At 47.7% G+C, this 23,273-nt stretch overlaps 1 protein-coding gene across 11 annotated transcripts in view, besides 3 other annotated features; it reads left to right on the top strand.

Moving 5' to 3' along the window:
• Positions 1-23,273, top strand: part of KAZN (kazrin, periplakin interacting protein) — a 1,225,220-nt gene that overhangs the window by 969,371 nt on the left and 232,576 nt on the right. The window lies entirely within an intron of this gene.
• Positions 5,911-6,411: an enhancer, noted in NCBI's record as "H3K4me1 hESC enhancer chr1:15194601-15195101 (GRCh37/hg19 assembly coordinates)". NCBI's record gives its function as "activates a minimal SCP1, AML or CMV promoter by ChIP-STARR-seq in primed H9 embryonic stem cells {active_cell/tissue: H9 hESC(primed)}" and the evidence as "EXISTENCE:reporter gene assay evidence [ECO:0000049][PMID:30033119]".
• Positions 19,684-19,733: an enhancer, noted in NCBI's record as "active region_228". NCBI's record gives its function as "activates an Ori minimal core promoter by ATAC-STARR-seq in GM12878 lymphoblastoid cells {active_cell/tissue: GM12878}" and the evidence as "EXISTENCE:reporter gene assay evidence [ECO:0000049][PMID:35858748]".
• Positions 19,744-19,803: an enhancer, noted in NCBI's record as "active region_229". NCBI's record gives its function as "activates an Ori minimal core promoter by ATAC-STARR-seq in GM12878 lymphoblastoid cells {active_cell/tissue: GM12878}" and the evidence as "EXISTENCE:reporter gene assay evidence [ECO:0000049][PMID:35858748]".

The following is a 23,273-nucleotide window of genomic DNA, read 5'->3' on the forward strand; positions in this document are numbered from 1 at the left end:
ATAATTAAAACACCACTTGACAACGGCCATAACAAATGTGTGAACCAAGTGCCAGCAGACCCAGAGAGGAAATGAGGAACCAGCCTTTTGGTTGCCCGTCGGCAGAAGGCCTGCTGCAAGGAGGGGTTTCGGAGTGCCCAGCATGGGGGCGTTGAATCTGAGAAGAGGAACCTGGCTTTCTCGGGGTGCTACAAGGCCAATACCTACAGGAGTTTCCCATCCCAGTGCACCTCCAATCAATTGAGCTCCTGTTCCAATCACACCTGGTAGGGATTTAATTGCTTTGGATTGATTTTTGCCAGTGGTGACTTTCAAACCCCCAGCCTGGGAATGAAGAGAGATTAGTCACATCAGGGGAGGCCTACTGACAGCAGCGAAAATCAGCAGGGAGTGAAGATGATTTAAACTAGTCTTTCCAATCAGCCTCCCAGACTGTACCTAGGATGCGAGCAGCCATTTTAACAAATGGTCACCTGGGAGTTTCGAATCAGTATAAACCCAGCACTGATAGTCATAGGAGCTGTCCCGTGCTATGTGCTCATAATACATTGACACTAAGTTCTTCATATATATTCGGGATGTGCTCAGCTTTGCAAACCAGGACACAGAACCAATTTCACCAGTTATTTATCACTGGCACAATTCATGGGCCTTATTAGCTATCGATGACTAGTGTCATTGCCCCTGCATATGGTGTCTCATTTCATCTTCATGACAACACTGAGACAAGCGCAATGTTGTACCCATGGTACAGATGAGGCAAGAGAAGTTACCCGCAAAGCTGAGAAAAGGTGGAGCTGAGATTCGGTCTTAGGGCCATTCTGTTGCTCCCGTGGTTCCATTTATGGATTATTTCACAGGATGAGACGCTTCTGTAGCTGAGTCTTTGTATCCCTTTCTCTTTCTTTCCACTGTCAGGTGGTGAGCTTGCTCTGGGGACTGGGTGTGGCCTAGAGCCCTGTTATGAAACACCTGGAGGGCTGTGTGCACTGCTGTTCTCGCGTTTGCCATCAATGTGGGATCTATGAGCAGCCAAAGGCATCCCCCGGGAATGTACAGAGGGTGTCTTGGGCACCCTGAGTGCTCCAAGAGTCCAAAGAGGGAGAGATTTATCCTTCGGTGTGACAGGCAGACCCCATCGGGGCAGCAGACACTCTGTCCCTCCGGGGGATGCCAGGTTTCTGCTGTGTTGGGGGATGAATGTGATTGAACAAACCTCTAACCTCACCTGGAATGTTTCAAAGACAGCTTTGAGCAGAAGTGGAGAGAGGGCCCAGCCAATGGGGTCCCTCCTCATTTTCCACTCAGTCAGGATGCAAAGCTTGGATTTTCTGTTTACTTTTCAAACACTTCTATTGAACACTAGATTTGGGGGATCAGAGAGGAATTGGATTCAATTCCTAACCTTAGGGGCTGTAGCAGTCAAAGAGAGAGAAAGATGTGTAAAGAATCAAAATACCATCCAAATCCCGTGATGGCTCTTGGTGTATATGTGTAGAGTGCTCTGAGAACATGGGAGAGGGAATAATGAACTCAGCTGAGGAGTTCATTTCAGGGGAAACTGAAGGTGCACGGGGGATCAGCTTGAACTGGTCCTTGAAGGATGAATGAGTCGGAGTAGGGGCACAGAGGCATTTCAGGCAGATGGGACTGAGCAGGCCAAGGCACAGAGATCCAGAGTGCATGCAGTGTGTTCGGGAGGAGTCAGTAGTCCTGCAGAACTACAGCCTGAGTTGGGGGGATGTGCAGCTGAAAGGTAACAGATTCATGCATTCATTCCTTCACTCATGATTCTTTTCCTTCATCCAGCTAGGAGGTAATTATTCAGAGGCTGTTATGAGCCAGGCATGGGTCAAAACAGAAAAATCAGCTCGACTCAGTGAGAGCCCAATCTTCCCATTCCAGGAAGCCTAGCAGATGGAGGATTCTACCCCCACCAGCAAGGTCCAGGCTTAAAGCAAGTGCAAGGGTCACCTCAAATCTTTCTTTACAAGGTGAATGTTAAACTTCAAGTGTGGTTACTACTGAAAAGTGAGAAAAGCTGGAACTACAATGTCAAGGGACTGTTTCAACAATGGTTCACATGGGGGCCGGGCGCGGTGGCTCACGCCTGTAATCCCAGCACTTTGGGAGGCCAAGGCGGGCGGATCACATGGTCAGGAGTTCGAGACCAGCCTGGCCAATATGGTAAAACCCCGTCTCTACTAAAACTACAAAAATTAGCTGGACGTGGGGTGGGCGCCTGTAATTCCAGCTACTCGGGAGGCTGAGGCAGGAGAATCACTTGAACCCGGGAGGTGGAGGTTGCAGTGAGCAGAGATTGTGCCACTGCACTCCAGTGGGGGCGATAGATGGAGACTCAGTCTCTAAAAGAAAAAACAAACAAACGATGGGCTTTGCTAAGTGGGTATAAAGGTGGGACGGACACAGCCCTAAACCTTGAAGTTGAAATGGTGGCAAAAGCCTGGCAGCTGGTGAACGTGGTTTTTTTGCACCACCCTCCATCCCCCAACAGCATCTGGCAACATCTGACAGGCTACCTGCTGTTGCATTCAGAGGACGGGCTCTGGATTCAGATTGCTGGGGGCCTGTATCAGCGGCACCACTTTCTGGCTATCACTTCCCCTCTCAGACCTTGGTCTTCTCATGTATGAAATGGGATAATAACAACACCCAGCCCACAAGATGGTTGTGATGTTGTGAGATGCAAACGAATTACTGCATGAAAAAAGCTCAGACCAGCAGCCCCTGCCAGGTGAAACTGCCATTAGTGTTACCCAGCACCATGCTAGACCCACCAAAACATTGCTTGTTGGATAAAATAGCAAACCCCAGGTACCATCTCCTCAATGAGATCTTTCCCCGTCCAAAATGGATTGGAATGTGTGAGAGGAAGCTAGCTACTCAACACTGGATGCAAAGATTCAGGCAGGGGTGGAATGGGGACCTTCTACCTCTGCCTCTTGCCCAAGGTCAGGGACACCGTTCTCACCACTAGACAAACTTCCCATCTGGAGGCACCAAGAGGAAGAGACTTTTCCAGAGAAATGTAGCTGCGGCTCCTCCCCAGTATGAAAATAGATCGCCCTGGGACTGGAGTAGTTAATGAAGATGATAATTAGAATTGCTTATTAGGACCTGTCTTCTGAAGTTCATTTGTGCTTTTAATAGAATCTACAACACATCTGCTTAGCAGAGATGACAGATCTTCCTGATTTGGTGTATTTTAAGACAAGATCTTTGCGCCCTGGCTTCTCCTGGTCTCCCTCCTCCCCCATGTCTGCCATCTGCTGCTGCGGTGACCTTCCCTCATGGCAGAAGCCTGGAGACTGCAACCAGAAAACACCCTTCTTCTTGCCAGGGGACCCCCTCCACCAAAAGCCAGAGAGACGTCTCATCTCTTTCTGAGGAATAGCAATCCCTTCTACGACCACCCTCCCCCTTGCTCTCCAGCCATCCTGCCTGTACTGGGTTGGATTATGTGTGCCCTCATCCCAAATTCATGTCTACCTGGAATGATAGAACATGACCTTATTTGAAAACAAGATCTCTGTGGTTATAACTAGTCAAGTTAAGATTTACTGGAATAGGGTGAGCCCTAATCCCAAGGTCTGATGTCCTGGTAAGAAGGCCACGTGGATACACAGGGAGGAGGCCGTGGGACCACAGAGGCAGAGATTGGAGTGAGGCAGCCACAAGCCAAGGAGTGCCAAGAAACCACCAGAAGCTGGGAGGAGGCAGGAAAGATTCTCTCCTGAAGCCTTCAGAGGGAGCACAGCCCTGCCGACACCTCGATCCCAGCCATCTAGCCCCTAGAACTGCAAGATGATACATTTCCGTTGTTCTGAGCCATCTGCTTTGTGGCACTTTGTTATAGCAGCCCTGGGAAAGTTTTTTTCAGCTTCTCAAACTTGCCGAGCTCTCTCCCAATTCCATGCCCTTTGCACCTGCTGTTCCCTCTGCCTGGAACTCTCTTTCAGCTTCCCCTCCCCACTCAGCTCTTCTCCTGTCCCATCCCCACATCACCTGTCCAACCCCTACTTTAGAGCGCTTTGCACATAGATGACTATGCAATGAATTACCTCACCGAAAGCAGGTGACCTGTACAGAAAGCAAGCATCCCGATCTCCCTGAGTTTTGGCGAGAGCCCCTTCCTCAGTCCCATAAGCTCCTGGTCAAGGTCTATGCCCATCTTGTCATCCTTCTGTCCCTGGAGCCTGGCATGCAGTTAACATACAAGAATTTGTGGAAGGGTCTGGCACAGTGGCTCACACCTGTAATCCCAGCACTTTGGGAGGCCAAGGCAGGAGGAGTGTTTGAATCCAGGAGTTCAAGACCAGCTGGGCAACATCTTTTGCCCCCGTCTCTGCCAAAAATAAAAAATGAACTGGGCATGGTGGCATGTACCTGTAATCCCAGCTGCTCAGAAAGCTGAGGTAGGAGGATCCCTTGAGCCCAGGAGGTTGAGGCTGCAGTGAGCTGTGATTGTGCCACTGCACTCCAGCCTGGGTGACAGACTGAGACTGTGTCTCTTAAAAAAAAAAAATGTTGAAGGATAATACCATTGATCCTACAATTGCTAGACCCAAATGAATCCAAAGGTCCTTCCAGCCCTTCCAAGACCTTGGGCCTCACTCCATGAGCATCCGGACACCTAATCTGAGGCCCCAGGCATGGAATCTGTGCTGGCCTGAGCTGTGGGGAGACCCTGGTCTATGGACACCTCTTGAGATCAGTGGAGATACACAATAATGGAGAATGCTGTTATTGTCATGGCATAAATTTGGATTGGAGAAGACAGAAAAGAAGCAGGATGCTAAGTGAGGCTGGCCACGCCCCTGCCTCCCTGATGGACTGCTGACCTTGCAATGCCCTTCTCTTGAATCCCAAGTTCGGGCTCGTTTTTTCCAGGCCTCCTCTGCTACAATGCTTGGCCAAGGCCCAGCCAGGGCCCTCCCTGTGCAGGGGAGCAGCCACGTTCAGGGCCCTGTGATCAATGGAGCGTGGAGGCCTCTCGGAGTCCTTTGCTCCCCTCTCCCTCCTCTTTTGCCTTGAAGGTCTGTTGTTTTGTGAGATCTGCGAGAGTGGGGAGAGTGGGGAGATTTATTTTGCACTGAGGCTGTGAGTGGGCTGAGAGAGAAGCAGAGGACAAAAACTGCACTAGACTTAGACCAGGCACCAAAATAGAAAGCCCAAGACCATTGTATTCCCCCGGGACCTGACTCTGGCCATGGTGCTGATGATAGAGTTACCGTTGGGTTCAGGGATGGTGCATCCTCCAGCTGGGCTCCAGGTAAGACAGGCTTTTTGACTTCTCTGTGCCTGTTTCCAGCTCTGTGAAGTAGGAAAACTACTAGCTTCCATCTCGCAAGGACGCCGAGAGGATGAAATGACAGAGCACGTAGTTGTCCGTAGACTGATGTCAGGTGCTGCTGTTTGTGTTATTAATGACAACAGCAGTCATCCTATTCAGGTGCTTTTGCTAGGACTGTGACTTCTGTCTCTGCTTTACTCGGTGTCTTTGAAGACACCCCCCCCCCCACCCTGGGCATGGAGGCATTGGGGCAAAGGGCAGCAGGCAGGTCAGCTGGCATGGCCCCTCGTCTGGGGCTTGTCCCTGGCTATGTCCTCAGCTTTCCTGGGCTGAGCCAGTGATGTATATAAGGCTGTGGACTGCACTTGGATAGGTGGAGAGGAGACAGACATGACCTGGCTACAGGGAGGACAGCAGTGGGCAGGCACAGCCTCACATAAGCACAGCATTGCATAGGCAGGCATCGCATATGCAGGCATTGGATACACAGGCATCACAAACGTGGGCATCACACAGGCATGGCATCGCATAGCATGGCATCACATACGCACAGCATTGCATACACAGGCATCACATACGCACGGTATCACATACACAGGCATTGCATACACGGGCATCACATAGCACGGCATCACATACGCAGCCATCGCATAGGCGGGCATCGCATAGGCAGGCATCAAATAGCACGCATCACATACGCAGGCATCGCATACGCAGGCATTGCAAACACATGGCATCACATACGCACAGCCAGGGCTGCGTCTGAGGCCACTGGAGGGGAACTGTTCTTAGACCCAATGGCTGTCTTTACTACTAATTGCTATTGCATCTATTGGGCAATTAGAGGGTACCAGGCTGTGGGCTTTCTAACACTTTCCTGGGATGGGAGCCATTTTATAGATGGGGAAACTGAGGCTCAGAGTTGGAGCAACTCATCTAGGGCCACACGTTACAAGACCTGGGATTTGAAACCAAGATTAGTGACTCCAGAGGCTGAAATCTTAACCACTTCCCCGTGGGCCCTTCTTGAAGTGAATGTCTAACCATTACCACTTTTCCACTGGGTGAACTGGAGTCTTGTAGACCCAGAACATCTGGGCAGACTTTGAGTTTGGGGAGGGGAATCTAGTAGGCTCCTCTGCAGCTGTCTTCATCTCTGCATGTCCTTCCAGAAATGGGGCCAAGAGGAGCCAGGCATGGTGGCGTGTGCCTGTAGTCCCAGCTACTAGGGAGGCTGGGGTGGGGGGATCTCTTGAGCCCAGGAACTCAAGGCTGCAGTGAGCTATGATCATGCCACTGCACTCCAGCCTGCACAACAGAATGAGACCCCAACTCTAAAAAACTTAATAGCTAAGTAAAAATAATAATAAATAATCCGAAATGGGGCCAAGATAAGAGAACTGAATCGGGGTTGGCGGGGGGGTGCATCTGTTCTACTCGGTGATTTTTCCCTTGTTGATCTGTGTCCCCCACTCCAGCTTGGGGGCCCCGGTGGTATTGTGGGTACCCACAAAATGCTAGTCAGGATGCCAGATTCCCCTTCTCTAGTTCCTGCTAGCACCTTGGGATGTGTCCTAGTGAGAACCGCAGACTTGCCAAAGCCATGACAGCTGGATCCTATTCTAGCCGCAGGTTGGGATCGAAGTTTAGTATTCCAGCTTCCACCATCCCCTTCCTGCCTGTCTTGACCCTTCCAGTTTGCTCCTTTAAATCTCCACTTCCCTTTTGCACAGTCTCAAGCTCTTCCAGGTTCTGAGGATTTTTTCTCACTTCTCAGGGTGAGCTCGCGACCTTTCATTGCCTTCCCTGTGTGAGCACAATTCAGGGGTCAGACTCTGGACTCTTTATGGAGCCTCAACGCAGGGGCTGTGACTGTATATTCTGCACAGCGAGGCTCTAATTACAGGCTGCATGCTGGAGACTAGTCATTTTGTGAGTCATTAGGATGTGTGGCTGGGGCTTTATAATATCTTTTGATGAGTTCTGTAATTTTTATATCTTCACCTATGCTAGCATTTTCAGTGAAGCAGAACAGGACAGTAGGGCTGGCAGATGTCACAGCCCCTGGGCTCTTTCTGGATCGGAATTGAAAGGGTCTTCTCCTCTGCACTCTGAGGAGAGAAATATTGATTCTGATTGGGTTCGAGGGGTTGAAAGCTGGCATGTGCCTCGTCTCTTGCTAATCAATATTCCAAAGCAGTGGTTGTGGGTAATGTTTGAGTACTTGCTTCTGTTCTCCTTCGTGTTGGCAAATTACAAGCTTTCAGGTGAGACTCCCTTCATTTTGCAGTGGCTGCGAGGAGCAGGTTTAATTAGCGCACAGACCTGCTGGAAAAATCCAGTGTTATTAAAAGCCTTGTTCCATGTGGTGGCTGCTGGGTTGTACCGGTCTCCTGCCCTCAGCCCCTTCCTTCCTGAAGCCACCCAACACCCACCCCGGCATTACTTTGCCATTAATCCCAAGGTATCCGGGGAAAAATGACAGAGAGGTAAGAAAAATCACATGGAAGGTAGAATGTCCAGATTTTTCCCCAATGAGATGAAAAACTCAGGGTCTCATCTCTGTGGAAAATCCCAGTATCTGTCCAGGAGCACTGGGCCTGGCCTTGACCTTGGCTTTGACCTTCAGACGACTGCTGGGGAGATTCCTTGAACATGGAGTCTAGGGCCTGGATACTGGGAAAAATCAGACCCTTCTACTCAAAACCAAAAGACCACAGGCTTTGGAGTTAAGACAGGGTGAAGGGTGAGTCCCAGCTCTGCTCCTCACTTGCTGTGTGACTTTGAACAAATGGCTTAACTTCTCTGGCCCTGTTTCCTCAACTGTTTTTTGTTTTTTGTGTGTTTGTATTGAGACAGAGTTTTGCTCTGTCGCCCAGGCTGGAGTGCAATGGCACAATCTTGGCTCATTGCAACCTCCACCTCCTGGGTACGAGTGATTCTCCCACCTCAGCCTCCAAGTAGCTGGGATTACAGGCATGCACTACCACACTGGCTAATTTTTGTATTTTTAGTAGAGACGCGGTTTCTCCATGTTGGCCAGGCTACTCTCAAACTCCTGACCTCAAGTGATCTGCCCACCTTGGCTTCCCAAAGTGCTGGGATTACAGGTGTGAGCCCCCAGGCCCGGTTTTCCTCATCTGTTAAATGGGGTTCACGACCGTGACTCCCTCATGAGCTGCTGTGATGCTTCATGAGATGAGGAGCTTCACATCTGGCACAATTAATGGCCCATGGTCAGCTCTCAATCGGGGGCATTTGTTGTGAAGGTTGTGTGGCACTATGTGTCACTGTGGCCACACTGTTCTCATTATTACATATATGAATCTTACTCCACAACCAAGTGTGCAAGAAATCTCACCAGGCCCAACCCTACCAGAATGATAAGAAATTAAGACTCATCATATGAATGGCCGCCTCCACACCTGCCTGGGGTCACACAATAACCCAGAAGGCTTGTCTGATATCTGGAGAATGAGGAAGGGGCCTGGAGGCTTCCATCCTCCATGGTCTCAGCTCACCTGTTCTTTGTCCAGGCCCACCTGATCTCCAAGAGGTGGACAGTGCTGTTGCCTGAGCCCAGGTGTGTCTTCAGTGAAGTCAGAAGCTCCAGTGTTCAAGGTCCAGACCCTCCACCACCACACGGCACCTATGTGCCCTCTTTAGTCCTGCACCTCCTCACGATGCTGGAACAGTCCAGGCACAGTTGTCCTGCAGACCTCTCCTTCCTAGGTTTGGGGAATTGCCCAATCAGCTCTCTTCTAGAATGTTCCACAGCCTCTTCCCCAATTCCTTCCATGAACCTTCTGCTTGAGGAACAAGAGTCAAGAGGGAGGTTTGCTTCCTGGTAAAGCTCTGGTTTCCTTTTGCATACAAATTGCCCTGCAGCAAGGGAGCTGGAGGATGGGCTTCCTCTTCGAATAGGAATGGGAAACTGGGGAAAAGTGTACAAGTCGCTCTGGTCTGGGATTTTACAAACACAAATTATTATCTCCATAGGGCGTGCCACACCATTATTATCAGTGCATCTGCAACAGGGGAGGCGTAAGGAAGATGCTTTCTGTGCATCTGACCCCCAACTCCCACAGCCTGAACTAAAAATATCACCTGCAGTGAGCCTGAGACATCTACATGAGCAGCAGTGTGTGTGTGTGTGTGTGTGTGTGTGTGTGTGCACCTGCATCTCTGTGTCTTGATGCTGTGTGGTGTTAATTCTTTGACTGCATTCATTCACCAAGGCCTGAAGGCATAGTATCCTGATTGACCAGATCTGAGTCACAGGCTCACATGCTGACCCTTGGAATCAGAGTGGGGTCAGCCCCACGTGAGTCTCAGTGTCATGGACTCAGAGTAGGGGAGAGAAAGGTGACCCGGGAGAATGGGGGTGTTTAGAGGGGGTGGGCCAGGAGGAAATCAGGAGCTCAGTCTGGAGCATGCTAGGCTGGAGATGTCTGTTAATCATCTGGGAGCTACCAGAAGAAGGGGGCATGAATATGCGCAGACAGCAAGGCAAGAGGCTATTGCTGGCAGATAAACATCTAAATTCCTGCACTCCTGTATCAGAAGCTGAATTAGGGTGCAAGCGTGTGGGCACCAGTCCCTTAAATTACCCTTCTTTGGAAGGAATAATGGACTTGGAGTCAGAAGACTAGATTTCAAGACTAGCCTCTGCTTCATACTGACTGGGGGACTTCTCTGGGTTTGTTTTCTTGTCTGCAAAATGGGATATAATAAACTACTACTTTAGGGTGGTTATGGAGCAGTGCTGTCTGATAGAACTTCCTAGAACTTTCTATTTAATATGGTAGCCACTGGCCACATGTGGATATTAAGCAATTAACATATAGCTAGTGTGACTAAGGAACTGAATTTTTTATTTTATTTAATTTCAATGAATTTAAATTCAAACAGCCACATATGGCTAACAGCAACCATATTGTACAGTGCAGTTTTAGATTATTCAATTGGATCATTACAGTTTGCTTTGTAAACTGTGAAGTGCTATAAGGGAATATTCATTGCATCCCTTAATTGAAAGCTCCAATGATGAAGCCAGGTACTGTGTGAATAAGTCTTGCTCATGCTCATAATTATTGTAACCACTGATCTAAGTGGGGCCTGAAATCCTTAAAATGGTCTTATTTCTGGACATCTCCCTTCACATTTGAAGGATTAATATAATGGATCTCTCATGAACCTATACAGAATCCCAGTAAGAAATTATTGCATGGATGGATGGTTCGATGGATGGATGGACAAGTGGACAGATGAATGGATAGGTGGATGGATGGATGGACGTACAGATGGATGGGTGGAAGGACAAATGGATGGATGTACAGACGGATACATAGATGAATAGATGGGTGGATGGATGGGTGAATGGATATATGGATAAATGGATGGTTGGGTGGATGGATGGATGGATGGATAGATGGATGGATGGATGGATGGATGGATGGAAAGATGAGTAGAAGAACATATAGAAGGATACATGGATGGATGGATGGATGGATGGGTGGGTGGATAGATAGATGAATCGGTGGGTGGATGGATGGATGGGTGGATGGATGGATGGATGGAAGGATGGATGGATGGACAGATAGATGAATGGATGGGTGGATGGATGGATGGATGGAAGGATGGATGGATGGACAGATAGATGAATGGATGGGTGGATGGATTCATCCATTCATTCCTTCTGTCACCTGCTATGCACTAGGCATTATTCAAGTAGTTAGGGATAGAATAATAACACAGACAAAGCTCCTGCTTTCAGAAAGACTGTATTCTAAAGGGGAGAGTCAGATGTTCAAGAAGAAAACAAATAGCATAAAGAATTTCTAGTAGCAGTAAGCACTATGAAGGAAAATAAAGTGGGGAAGAGGGATGCAGAATAATGGGGCTGCTGTTTCACATAGGGTGGTCTCTTTGGTAAAGCAGCATTTGAGAAAGCCTTGAGGGAAGGGAGGAAGTGAGCTATGCAGAGATCTGAGGGAAAAGCAGAGAGAACAGAAGAAGGCTAGCATGGCTAAACCAGAGTGTGGGAGGAGAGGAAATGTAAAAGGAGAGGAGGTCAGAGGGAGCCAGGGGCCTTTCAGGCTTTTGGAAGACTTTGCTTTCCTCTCAGTGAAATGAGAAGCCAGTGGTGGGCTTTGAGAAGAGGAGGGATTGGATCTGACATATATTTATGTTGTGTTGAAAATAGACTCTAGGGAGGAAAGGCAGGTGCCGGAGACAAATAAGGAAGCTACTGCAATCATCTAGGCATGAGTTTGTGGTGGCTGGGACCAGGGAGAGAGCAGTGCAAAGTGGGGCAAAGTGGCGAGATTCAGTATCTAGTTCAAAGGTAGAGCCAGCAGAACTGACGTGGTGGATGTGGTGGGTAGGAGAAAAAGGAGAAGTCCAGAATGATTCCAGAGATGCACCCTTGAGTAACTGGAAGGAAAGCACTTGTCATTTCTTGAAATAGAGAAGACAGGGGCAGGAGCGAGTTTAGAGGGGGTGGGCCAGGAGGAAATCAGGAGCTCAGTTTGGAGTATGCTAGGTTAGAGATGTCTATTAATCATCTGAGAGTTGACTGTCCAAATTTCAAGGGAGAGGACAGGGCTGGTCATATCCATTTGGGAATCATCAGCATATACAGATGATATTTAAAGCCACGATACCAGACAAGTGAGTACAGATAGAGAATCCAAGGATTGAGCTCTGGAGTCCTCCAACATTTGGAGGTCGGAAGGGGGAAGAGGATCCAACAAAGGCTACTGAAAAGGAACAGCTGGTGAGGTAGGAAGAAACCAGTAGAGAAGTGACATGTGTCCGGAAGAGAGTGTTCAACTGTTAGATGCTGCTGACAGATTAAGTAAGAGGGGCTGGAAAGGTGACCACTGGATTTAATAATGTCATTGGTGACCTTGAGTTGTTTCAGAGGAATGGTGGCATGAATCGCTAGCTAGCTGGCTGACTGGATGGATGGATGGATGGATGGATGGATGGATGGATGGATGGATGGATGGACAGATGGATGGAAGGCTAACTTAACTACTGCAGCTAACTTAACTACTGCAGGTAACTGCACCATCTTGTCACCTGTGACAGCAATTAAGCAACTGTTGCCTGACACTCCGTGTGCCAGAACCAAAAGCTGTCAAAACCAATCTCCTTCTCCATTCACCCAACTTTTTGGATCCAGCCCAGAAATCCTGGTGTGACCTGTGTTTGCTATAAGATGAGAATCTTGACATCTTCTGGTTTGATTATCCTTCTCTGGATTACCCATAATGCTCTTGGTCGAATGTTTCCCCTTTTAAGGTTTGAGAAGGGAAAGGAAAGGAAGAAAATGAGAGGAAAAAAAACTAACTCTGGGATCCTAGACTTACTTGGTTTTGTATTTCCATTTGCCAAACTGATGCTTTGCCAAATCTCCCTTCCTTTCTGGAAGAGCAGATTTGCGCAGCCACCTACCTCTGCAAGTGGGGGTCCCTGGAGATTCCTCCATGTTAAAGCCAAATGAGGAAAGGTCTCAGATATATCTGTAAATTTGTGGCCAGGTGCGGTGGCTCACACCTGTAATCCCAGCACTTTGGGAGGCTGAGGCAAGCAGATCACCTGAGATTGGGAGTTCAAGACCAGCCTGACCAACATGGAGAAACCCCGTCTCTACTAAAAATACAAAATTATCCCGGCATGATGGTGCATGCCTGTAATCCCGGCTACTCAGGAGGCTGAGGCAGGAGAATCACTTGAACCCGGGAGGCAGAGGTTGCAGTGGGCCGAGATCATGCCATTGCACTCCATCCTGGGCAACAAGAGTGAAACTCTGTCTCAAAAAAAAAAAAAAAAAAAAAAAATTGTAAGACATTTTATGTAAATGTTATTTATCTTTTTATGGGTTTATTTGGTTGTTGTTATCATTTATTGGGTGAGCATGGAAGCTGAACTCTTGTCTTCCCTGCCTTGCATTGTCCTTAATTTATTAAAAAAAAAAAAAAAGAAAAAAGAAAAAAAAACTATTTTCAATGAAGCCATTTCTTCCTTCTCCTAATAGTGAAAATCACTGGATTCTTAGGAGGCATGAGGCACAGACCAGGCTTCCTACGCAGGATGTGCTGGGGTCTGCTCCAGGCTCCTGAGAGCCAATAGTTACATTTTCAGGAATGTTATAAGCCTCATACTGGTGGCTTAAAATTGATGATGAGAGTACGTACACCATGGAAACTGGCAATGACTACAAATCAGGGCTCCTTCGCCCAACCCTCCACAGTTGATTGTTAAACACTTGCCAGTACACCACTGCCTGTTGCCTTCACTATCAAGAAAGAGGTTTTCTGAGATCAATCTGAAGTGTGACCTCGGGAATTTCCTGCTTTCCTGGAAGGGGGTAGATTTCAGCCCAGGCATGACTGCCACATCAACAGAGATGCTCGGGAAGATGTGTTGCCCTGCAAACTTTCACAGTTGACACCCCCTGCTTCAAGCTCTGTGTGATGACAGTGAAGTGAGAGTGAGCCGCTCCTCTGAATGGAGAGATTAAAAGCAGTTGTTTGACTGAGGCAAGGAGGAAGAAGAAAGCCCAGACAAGCCAAGTGGGACTGTGATCTTAACAGATGTTAGGATCTTACCTCATTAGGGCACCTCAGAGGCTTGCCGCGGAGGTGAGAAACAATAGATGAGGTGATGGCTTTATGGAATTGTCAGTGTTATCAGTTCCCTGTCCTCAATCTGATCTGCACAATCACAGCCTCTGTTGTCACCTGTCCAATTTCCAATCTTGTGGTAGCTGCGTTTATTACATGCGCAAATGCAGCCAGCAGCCAGAATGACATTAGCGATAGTAGCTGCTGTGGGCTCATTATTATGCAAGCCAGGAAAGGAACTCTAGGCAGGTGATTAAACATGCCTTTGGCAACAGAGCAAAGAACAGATGCTTGGGAGGACACACCTTGAAATTGCAGGTAGGAACCTGGGTTTAGGACCATCACTCCTGTGCAGGTCTTTGCAGGGGAAGCAGACACAGCGTTGTGTAGTAGTTAAGTGGAGGGAGTGGGGTCTGGAGCTGGACTGCCTGGATTCAAGTCTCACTCTGCCCCTTACCAGCTCTGTGACCTTGAGTATGCTTCCCACCTTCTCTGTTTACATTAGTCTGCCCATCTCTAAAATAGGATAATGATGCTAATGATAGTACCAAAAATTGGTATGCTTTTGAGGATCCATGAGTAATCTACGTAAAACACTTAAAGTGATGCCTGTCACACAGAGCTAATAAATGTTAGCTGTTATTATTCTCCCTCCAGACCTTTTTGTAGATAGGCATGTCTAGATTTGGGGAAGTCTTGTCTTACCACTTAGAATACTGCAAAGTCATCTACTTTGACATGAACTAAAGAAAGTAAGAAAGCCTTTGGGCAAGTTGAAACCAACTTGTATTAGTCAGACATTTTTGAGTTTCAGGTGACAGAAATTCAACCCAAACTGTCTTAAGCCAAATATATACATACATGTAGAGATGCAAAAGCTACTGGTTCTGGTGATTCAAAATACCAGGGTTGATCTTCCAGTCATGGCTGGTTCCAGGGACTTGAAAATGCCAGTGTGGATCCTTCAGGCATGACTGGCTCCAGGAGCTCAAGGGGTGTTCCCCGCACTCTCTCGGACTCTCTTGGACTCTCTTCTCACCACCAATCTCGTGGCTCTGTCTCCCGTTACTCCCTTTGTGTATTGGCCCCATTGTCTTCTACTGAAGACACCATCCTCCATATGGCTGGGGAAGATGACCTCAAACATCATCCTTATTGCTAAGGATCGCCAAGAGAAAACATATTTTCTAGAAGTTCCAGAAAAAGTCTGATTGGTTCACCTTTGGTTACATGCATATTTCTGATCCAATCACAATGGCCATGGGGATAGGGTGCATGATAGACATGCATCATGGGCCAATCCCTGAGCTGAAAGATAGGCATATGGGGTCAGCTCTGCCCAACCCAACCCAGGAGTTGGGGAAGGGGAGGTTCTCCAAAGGTGGAGTGTGAAATAGACACACAACACAGGGTCACCACAAGTCCTTGGTCACGGCAAAGACTCCGAAAGCCTGTGACAGCTTGGGTTCAAGTCCTGGCTCCTCCCTTATTAGTTTGGTCACCTAGGACAAGGTTCTTTCTCCTCTCTGTGCTTCAGTCTTCTCATCCATAACATGTGTGTAATAATAGTGCCTACTGCGTGAGCCTGTTGGGGGCAAAATGAGTGAATATGTGCAATCTGCTTAGAACGGTACAGTGCTTGATAGTTATGGAATAAATGATCAGTAAAGGCTGTTGTTATCTGATATTCACAATTATCATGAATATCTTACAAATACTTTCATTAATTCCACAAATAAATTTCATGTCTTTTATATACCAGGCTGGCTCCCAGTGTCTCGATGGACCCTACGGCACATTGGGAGAGACAGACATCCAGCAAATGATGACTCAATGATTGTGGATTGGATTTCTTGTACAAAGTGGCAAAGTGGAAAGACGAGAAGGCTTGCATTTAAAGTCAGACCAAGAACCTGCAGACATGGTTAAAATTCCAGCTCTCCGACATATTGGCTGTGTGACAGAGGGCACATCACTTCCTCTCTCTCAGTCTTAACTTTCTACCCTCTAAAATTGAATGATAATTGCTGGTGGATTCTGACTCCAGCTGCTTAATGCCTGAAGGCCACTTATCACCCCACAACCTATCACTGATGCATAGGACCAGAACAGGGCTTCTCAACTTCAACCTTGTTGGCATTTGGAGTTAAACATTAACAGTTCTTTGGGGGGGTGGCTGTCCTGTGCATTGTAGGATGTTGAGCAACTTCCCTGCCCTCTACACACTAGATACTCCCAGTGTGACAACCAAAAATGTCTCCAGACATTGCCATATGTCTCAACTGGGTACCAAAATCCCCCCTACCCATCCCCACTTGAGAACCACCAAAGGAATTCCTCTGATTAACTGTGCTGGGCATCCCCTCTTCTGGGCCTCAGTTTCCCCATCTGTCAAATGAATGGCTTAGCCCAGAAGATGGATAGCTATTGGCCTCCCCAAAGCAGAGTTTTCCCCAACTCTAAATTTTGTGGTGAAAACCCACCAAGTTCTAAGAACAGGCTTGGGACAAGGAGGAGAAAGGACATTCGGCCCTCAGCTGGAGGGAGGCAGAGCCCTGCAGATGCCCATCTCAGGTCCACCTTTTGCGGCCTCTTGTCTGGCTCTAGGCCCTCTCCCTTGCCAGTTTCCTGTTGGCCACCATGTTTTCCCAGTTGCTCTGGGAACACGTTTCCTTCCCACATCCCACTGGGAATAGGAAAGTCCATTGAATATTCATGAACGTATAAAATGAATTTGTGGTTGATATCGATCTAGTTCCTGAGGCCTAAGCTGGCCTCATCTTCCCCAAGTGGCCTCTCAGCCCTGGCTTCATGTTTCTAAGGGAACTTGTCCTGGTTTTCTTGAAAGGTAATCTTCTTGCGGATCAACTTTGCTAAGAAAATGAAAAGCTTTTTCCTCTCCCTTTAAATCCCTGCTCGTATCTGCCAAGAGCAGGAAGAGTCCCTGCCAGAGCCTTGGGATTGCATTGGGCATTTGAGCTCTGGAGTCAGGAAGGTCTCTGTTCAAATACCAGCTGCGTCGGTCCCTGAGTGCTGACCTTGTGCTGGTCACCTGGTTCCTGGAGCCTCGGTTCCTCATCTGTGTAACAACTAATGGAGTAAATAGAGTAATGGGAATTCACCATCTCGTGAGGTGGTTTCTAGCATTAAATAAATTAATATAAGTGAAGCACACAGCATATTCCTAACAAATACTCAATATGTAATAGATATTCTAGTTTTGTTATTAATGATTACATATATGATGATTGAGAAGTCAAATGAGATTATTATAGCCAGTGCTTTGTAAACTGCTCAGTGCTACGTACAGGAGTAAATAGTTCTAAGATGTTATCAACATTATTAGCATCACTTTGCCAGCCAGCCAAAGCAAAACGGCCCTGGGTGATCTGTCAATATCACAATCCAGCAGTATCAGATGCTGTTTGGCTCTGATTTCAGGATCAGAAATGGCCTACGAATAGACTCGTTGGCTCAGATTGACTTAAAGCTTCATTCTGAAAAATCTACACCACAGATTTGGGCCCAGGGAATTACCCCTAGTGGAGACCAACTGGGCTCCAGAATGAAGGCTTCGAATACAATTTGAATTGTGTGACTATGCGAGAATGTAGACCGTCCCCCACAGCATGGACATGCCTAAGACACAGTCGGGTTCAATCTTGTCATCATGGAGGTAGTGACCACCATCGAATGGTCCCCAAATATGAGCTACCATGTTAAGTACATTTTGTGCATTATCTCATTAATCCTCACAACAACGTCATAAGGGGGCTATGACCAACTCCTTGTTATGAACAAGGAAAAGAAGGCTCACAAAGATTGAATTCAAGTCAAGAATCTCAAGGCAAATAACAGTGGAGCTGAACTTCTGGGCTTCTCAGACACATGCTCACTGTAGACCACATCATCGGCACAGGAGATGAAGGTCTGATTTGGCTTTAGGATGAGGTTCTGTCGTATGCATGAAGGATGCAGGGACTGGAGGGAGGAGAGTTATGTGTGAAAAGGGAGCTGCCCCATCAAATTCTGAGCTGATGATAATGGCAACTATACTAGCAACCATGCCAGACTCTGGACTAAATGCTTTAGGTACATTATCCCACACGGTGCCTGCAATAACCCTCTGAGACAGTCTGTGGATACCCAGTTTGTAGATGATAAAGCTGCAGTCTGCAGGACCCCAGGGGATTGCCCGAGGAAAAGTATGTAGTAATTAGTGGAGCTAGGATTTGCACCTCAGCAGTCTGATTCCAGAGTTACTCTAGGTACCGCAGTGGCTTAATAAACTACCCCAAACTGAGTATAAAACACTAATTTGAACATGCTCATGGGTTTTGTGGGTCAGGGAATTAGACAAGGCTGGGATAGCTTGTTTCTGTTCCATGATGTTCAGGGCCTCATCTGGGAGGAATCAAATGGTTGGGGGTGACTCAAATAGCTGGGCACCGGACCCAGAGGCTCCTGCTGGGCTGGAAGTTCCTCTTCCAAGATGATGACTTCACTCGTCTAAATAAGTGGGCTGTTGACCCAAAGGCTGGGCTCAGCTGGGACTGCCAACTGGACTGCCTGCTTGTGGCTTCTCCCTGTGACCTGGACTTCTTAGAGCATAGATTTGTGCATTCCAGGAGAGAGCTTTCCAAGGGAACCAACCAGAAACTGCAGGCCTTTGATGACCTGACCTTGGAAGTCACATGGCATCACATCTGCTGTCCTATACTGGTCAGAGTAGACACATGCCTGTCCCAGTGGAATATGATTTATACCAGTTGCTAGGCTCGTGCTGAGGGTTGAGCAGCAGCAAGATAACTCTTTGCCGGTGAATAGCCTCCAGTTAACATGGGGAAAACAATGAGGTAAGAAAACGAATGACAGTCCAGCATGCCTTGTGCTCCTGAGGCCTCTGTGAAGTGCTGTGGGCACAGGATCCATTCTTGGAGCATGCGGTAACTGAGCTCACAGCCAAATTGCTCTTTCCCAATATCCAGCAAAGCTGTGTTCCTGGAGTTACTCATGGCCAGTGCTCCACAGATTGTGCTCAGTCAGGTTAGGCTGAACACCCCTGAAAGTAAATTCTCGCATGATAAGCAGGGTGTTTCCAGTTGGACCAGAAAATCCAGCAGGGTGACAGGTCAGATAATGTCCCAGCAAACCACTTCCCAACCCTTGTCAAAACTGGTAGGTGCAGAAACAGGCAGTAACAAATGCCATTGGCATGTGAAATGCCAGCCTGGTGGGGTGAGGAAGAGAAGTGGAAATCATTTGAGGCTACTAAGGCACAAGAAGGACTAGAGGGCAGGAAATAAACTTTCTGTGACCCGTACCATTGGAACTGTCTGCCATCTTGCCGAATCTTCCATTTGTTCATGTATCTCTTCATCCGCAAGTGTTTATAGAATACTGATTATGTGCTAGGCACTGTCCTCAGCCCTGGGAATACAGTGGTGAGCCAAGCAGAGCTGGTCCCTGCCTCTAGGAACTTACAGTCTCATGTCTGAGATTATTTCAGGGCACCACATGGTGGGTTCAGGTACAGGTTCTGGTGTCAAATCACCTGGAATCAAGTTTCTGCTCGACCACTTCCCAGCCAGAAGACCTCATATGAACCATTTTGAATCGATTTGCTCCCTCTGAACTTGTTTCTGCATCCTTATACTGGGGATAAGATTACTATTTTCTGTGTATGGTTGTTTAAATGAGATTTGGATTCACAAATGTAGGTGCTGCTGGCTATGGTGGTGGCAGCTTTCTCTTCTCTTCTGAACTCACTGTAAGCTCCTCCGGGGAAAGGCCTGTTCTCTACTCCTCCTGTGTGTCTCTCAGGTCCACTCTAAGCTGCCTCTGAAGCTGGTACTCTGTAAATACCTGTTGAGTCCTTAGGGCTACTGAATTCTGATTCAGTAGCTCTGGCGTGGGACCTGGGATTCTGCCTTGCTAGCGAGTCCCAGGTAAGACCCATGCTGCTGGTCTGGGGATCACACTGTGAGTAGCCAGAGACTGGCTCATCCTCTCGCCTTGCCCTACAGTTTTTCATAACTGAACAGGAAGTGTTGTTATCTCATGCAAATTCAGGGTTGTTAGAGCGTGAGCTCAGCATGCACTCAGCTAAACTTCAGAGATTCCAAACAAACTTTTTTCCCTCCTAGAAGAAGCTGAAGTTTTGCTAGATATGCTTTAGCCAGGACTATTTTAAATGACTCAGCGGCAGTAACATTGAAGCTTCAGCCCTAAAGACTCTTCCATGTGTTAGCTTCTCACCTGGGGCAAGTTGTTTAATCTCTCTTGGCCTCGGTTTCCTTGTCTGTAGTAGGGGGACTGGTCCATTTGGGGGCTGTGAAATGATGCGTGGAAATCACCCTGCTCGAGGTCAGGCATATGGTTGGTTTTGATAAAGGAGGGCTTCTGTTATAGACCTGGTATTTCCCATCAGTCCAGATCTTCAGATGCTGGAGTGAAAGAATCAGTGCTAAGGGAAGTGCTGGCTCTGAGGAACCAAGGGAAGGTTAAAGCATCACTTACAGCTCCTCCCTTCTTCTCCCTGCACGTGGAGGGCTAGACGGAATGCTTGCAAAACTAAAAGCAATTATAGCACAGTTTTAAAAGTTCATTGGCATTTATGGAGCATCTAGAAACTTCCAGATGCTGTTCTAAGACCTTTCCATGGATTATTTCATTTAAGTCTCATAATAACCCCTGTAAAGTAGGGACTGACATCATCCTCCTTAGACAGATGAGGACACCAAGGTGTGGAAAGGTGAAGAGATTTGTCAAAGTTCATTTGAGGAATAAATAGGGAGCTAGAAGTCAAATTCAGACATCTCTCTCCAGAGCTGCTCCTTAACCACTCATGGGTAACTCAAAAAGTGGTTCTTGGCCGGGCACGGTGGCTCATACCTGTAATCCCAGCACTTTGGGAGGCTGAGGTGGGTGGATCACCTGAGGTCGGGAGTTCGAGACCAGCCTGACCAACATGGAGAAACCCCATCTCTACTAAAAATACAAAATTAGCTGGGCGTGATGGCACATGCCTGTAATCCCAGTTACTCAGGAGGCTGAGGCAGGAGAATCACTTGAACCCAGGAGGCGGAGGTTGCGGTGAGCCAAGATCACTCCATTGCCCTCCAGCCTGGGCAAGAAAAGCGAAACTCCATCTCAAAAGAAAGAAAGAAAGAAAGAAAGAGAGAGAGAGAGAGAGAGAGAGAAAGAAAGAAAGAAAAGAAAGAAAGAAAGAAAGAAAGAAAGAAAGAAAGAAAGAAAGAAAGAAAGAAAGAAAGAAAGAAAGAAAAGCGGTTCTTGAGCTCTTCTGTTGCAGGGTGCAGGCTTTCTTAGGACTGGATGGAAGTGGTGGCCTCTGTCCCACCTTTTTCAAAGGTGAGACCCTGGGTCACAGCCAAAGGGAGCATTATCTTCACACGCTCCTCCCATCCTCCATCATCCCTCACCTCCCGCCTACCCAATCAAATCAAGCAGAACTTATTAGAATAATGTACCTGCACACAATATTGGATCTAATTTCAAGAGATTCAAGGGCTCTCCCTCCCTATCAAAGCCAGCCCATCCCCATCACATGGACACAGGCAAGACCTTCCAGGCAAGAATCAGACAGGGGGCCTACCTTTGCCTTAACCCTGAACTATAATCTGAAACTTGCATGCCACTTATTTGAATGTTACCTACTTGGGAATCTCTTGTTTTCTTTAAATCATCAAACACCCCTTACGGTTTGGGATAGGAAGCTCTATTGTATCCTTTAGGTCTCCCAGCCTCAGTCTGTTTTACAGAAGAGAGAGGCAGGCAAGAAAGAATAGGGTACAGGAATGGGGTCCTTATATCTGTATGTGTCTTCTTAGGTGCCCACAAAATCCCAGTAAGGGAGACAATATTTTCCCCATTTCACAGATGAAGAAACTGAGGCTGAGAGAAACTACATCACTCATCTAGGGTCTCACAGCCTATAAATAAGAAGTTCAGGCCGGGCGCGGGGGCTCACACCTGTAATCCCAGCACTTTGGGAGGCCGAGGCGGGTGGGTCACGAGGCCGGGTGATCGAGACCATCCTGGCCAACATGGTGGAACCCCGTCTCTACTAAAAATACAAAAATTAGCTGGGTGTGGTGGCGGGCACCTGTAGTCCCAGCTACTCGGGAGGCTGAGGCAGGAGAATCGCTTGAACCCGGGAGGCAGAGGTTGCAGTGAACCCAGATCACACCACTGCACTCCAGCCTGGCAACAGAGCGAGACTCCATCTCAAGAAAAAAGAAGTTCAAAGGACATTGACACCAAAAACATCATTTTCTACCGTGCCACTGAATTAAAGAATAAAATCAGTGTTTAAGACTATGCATATAACAGAAGCATAGGTTGTGTGGCTTTGGTGTGAATATATGTACTCTTAAGTTCTCCATATTAAGGACGTTCATTGCTAGAGTCTTAGAAGTCCAGGGCTGGGTGCATTTTCGAAGGTCGTTTAGAGCAGAGCTTCTCAAACTTCATGTGCATGGAAATCACATGAGGAGCTTGTTAATTTTAATGCAAATCAATTCTGATTCAGTAGCTCTGACGTGGGATCTGGGATTCTGCCTTGCTAGCAAGTCCCAGGTAAGACCCATGCTGCTGGTCTGGGGATCACACTGTGAATAGCCAGAGGCTGGCCCATCCTCTCGCCTTCCCCCACACAGTTTTTCATAACTGAGCAGGAAGTGTTGTTATCTCAGAGCCATCAAAGAAGAAATACATTTCTCAGCGACAGCGATGGCGGAGGAAGAGGCCTGCCAACAGGCGGGGAGCAGAGGGGACCTTAGACCCTGGCAGAGATCGAGCATCACGGAACACGTATCGTAATGCTGTGCTCACCGAGGGAGTCCACCAGGGAAAGGAGGACACTATTGTTCACGGGAAAATGCCTGGGAGGGAGCTATTATCCGTCGGTATCAAGCAGTTAGAGAAGTCTTCTCCGAAAAACACTTTAACAAGAAATCAAGAATCAACAAAAATAACATTACCTCCAGGTTCTCCTTCATTAACCTGGAAATGGGGATATAATCACCACTTTCTTGCTTGTATTAACCAGGAGTCCAGCCTGGGGAAGGTGGCTCGCCCCCATCCTTCTTTCGTGGCCCAGCTCCCCCTAGCCACTCCTACGTCCTTGCCTGCTCCCCAAATCTCCCAGCTCCTTCTGCCTGCTGAACATTGCAGCTGCCAAGCCTGCTGAGAACATCCTTCCCCCTTCTCTCCACCTATTGAACTCCTCCTATCATTTGGGGTTCCCCTAAGTGTCCCCACTTCCCCAGGAAAATATCTCTGATTCCTCCAACATATGTCAGGTC

Source organism: Homo sapiens, chromosome 1 (assembly GCF_000001405.40).
Source record: "Homo sapiens chromosome 1, GRCh38.p14 Primary Assembly".
NCBI classification, from domain to species: Eukaryota; Metazoa; Chordata; class Mammalia; order Primates; family Hominidae; genus Homo; species Homo sapiens.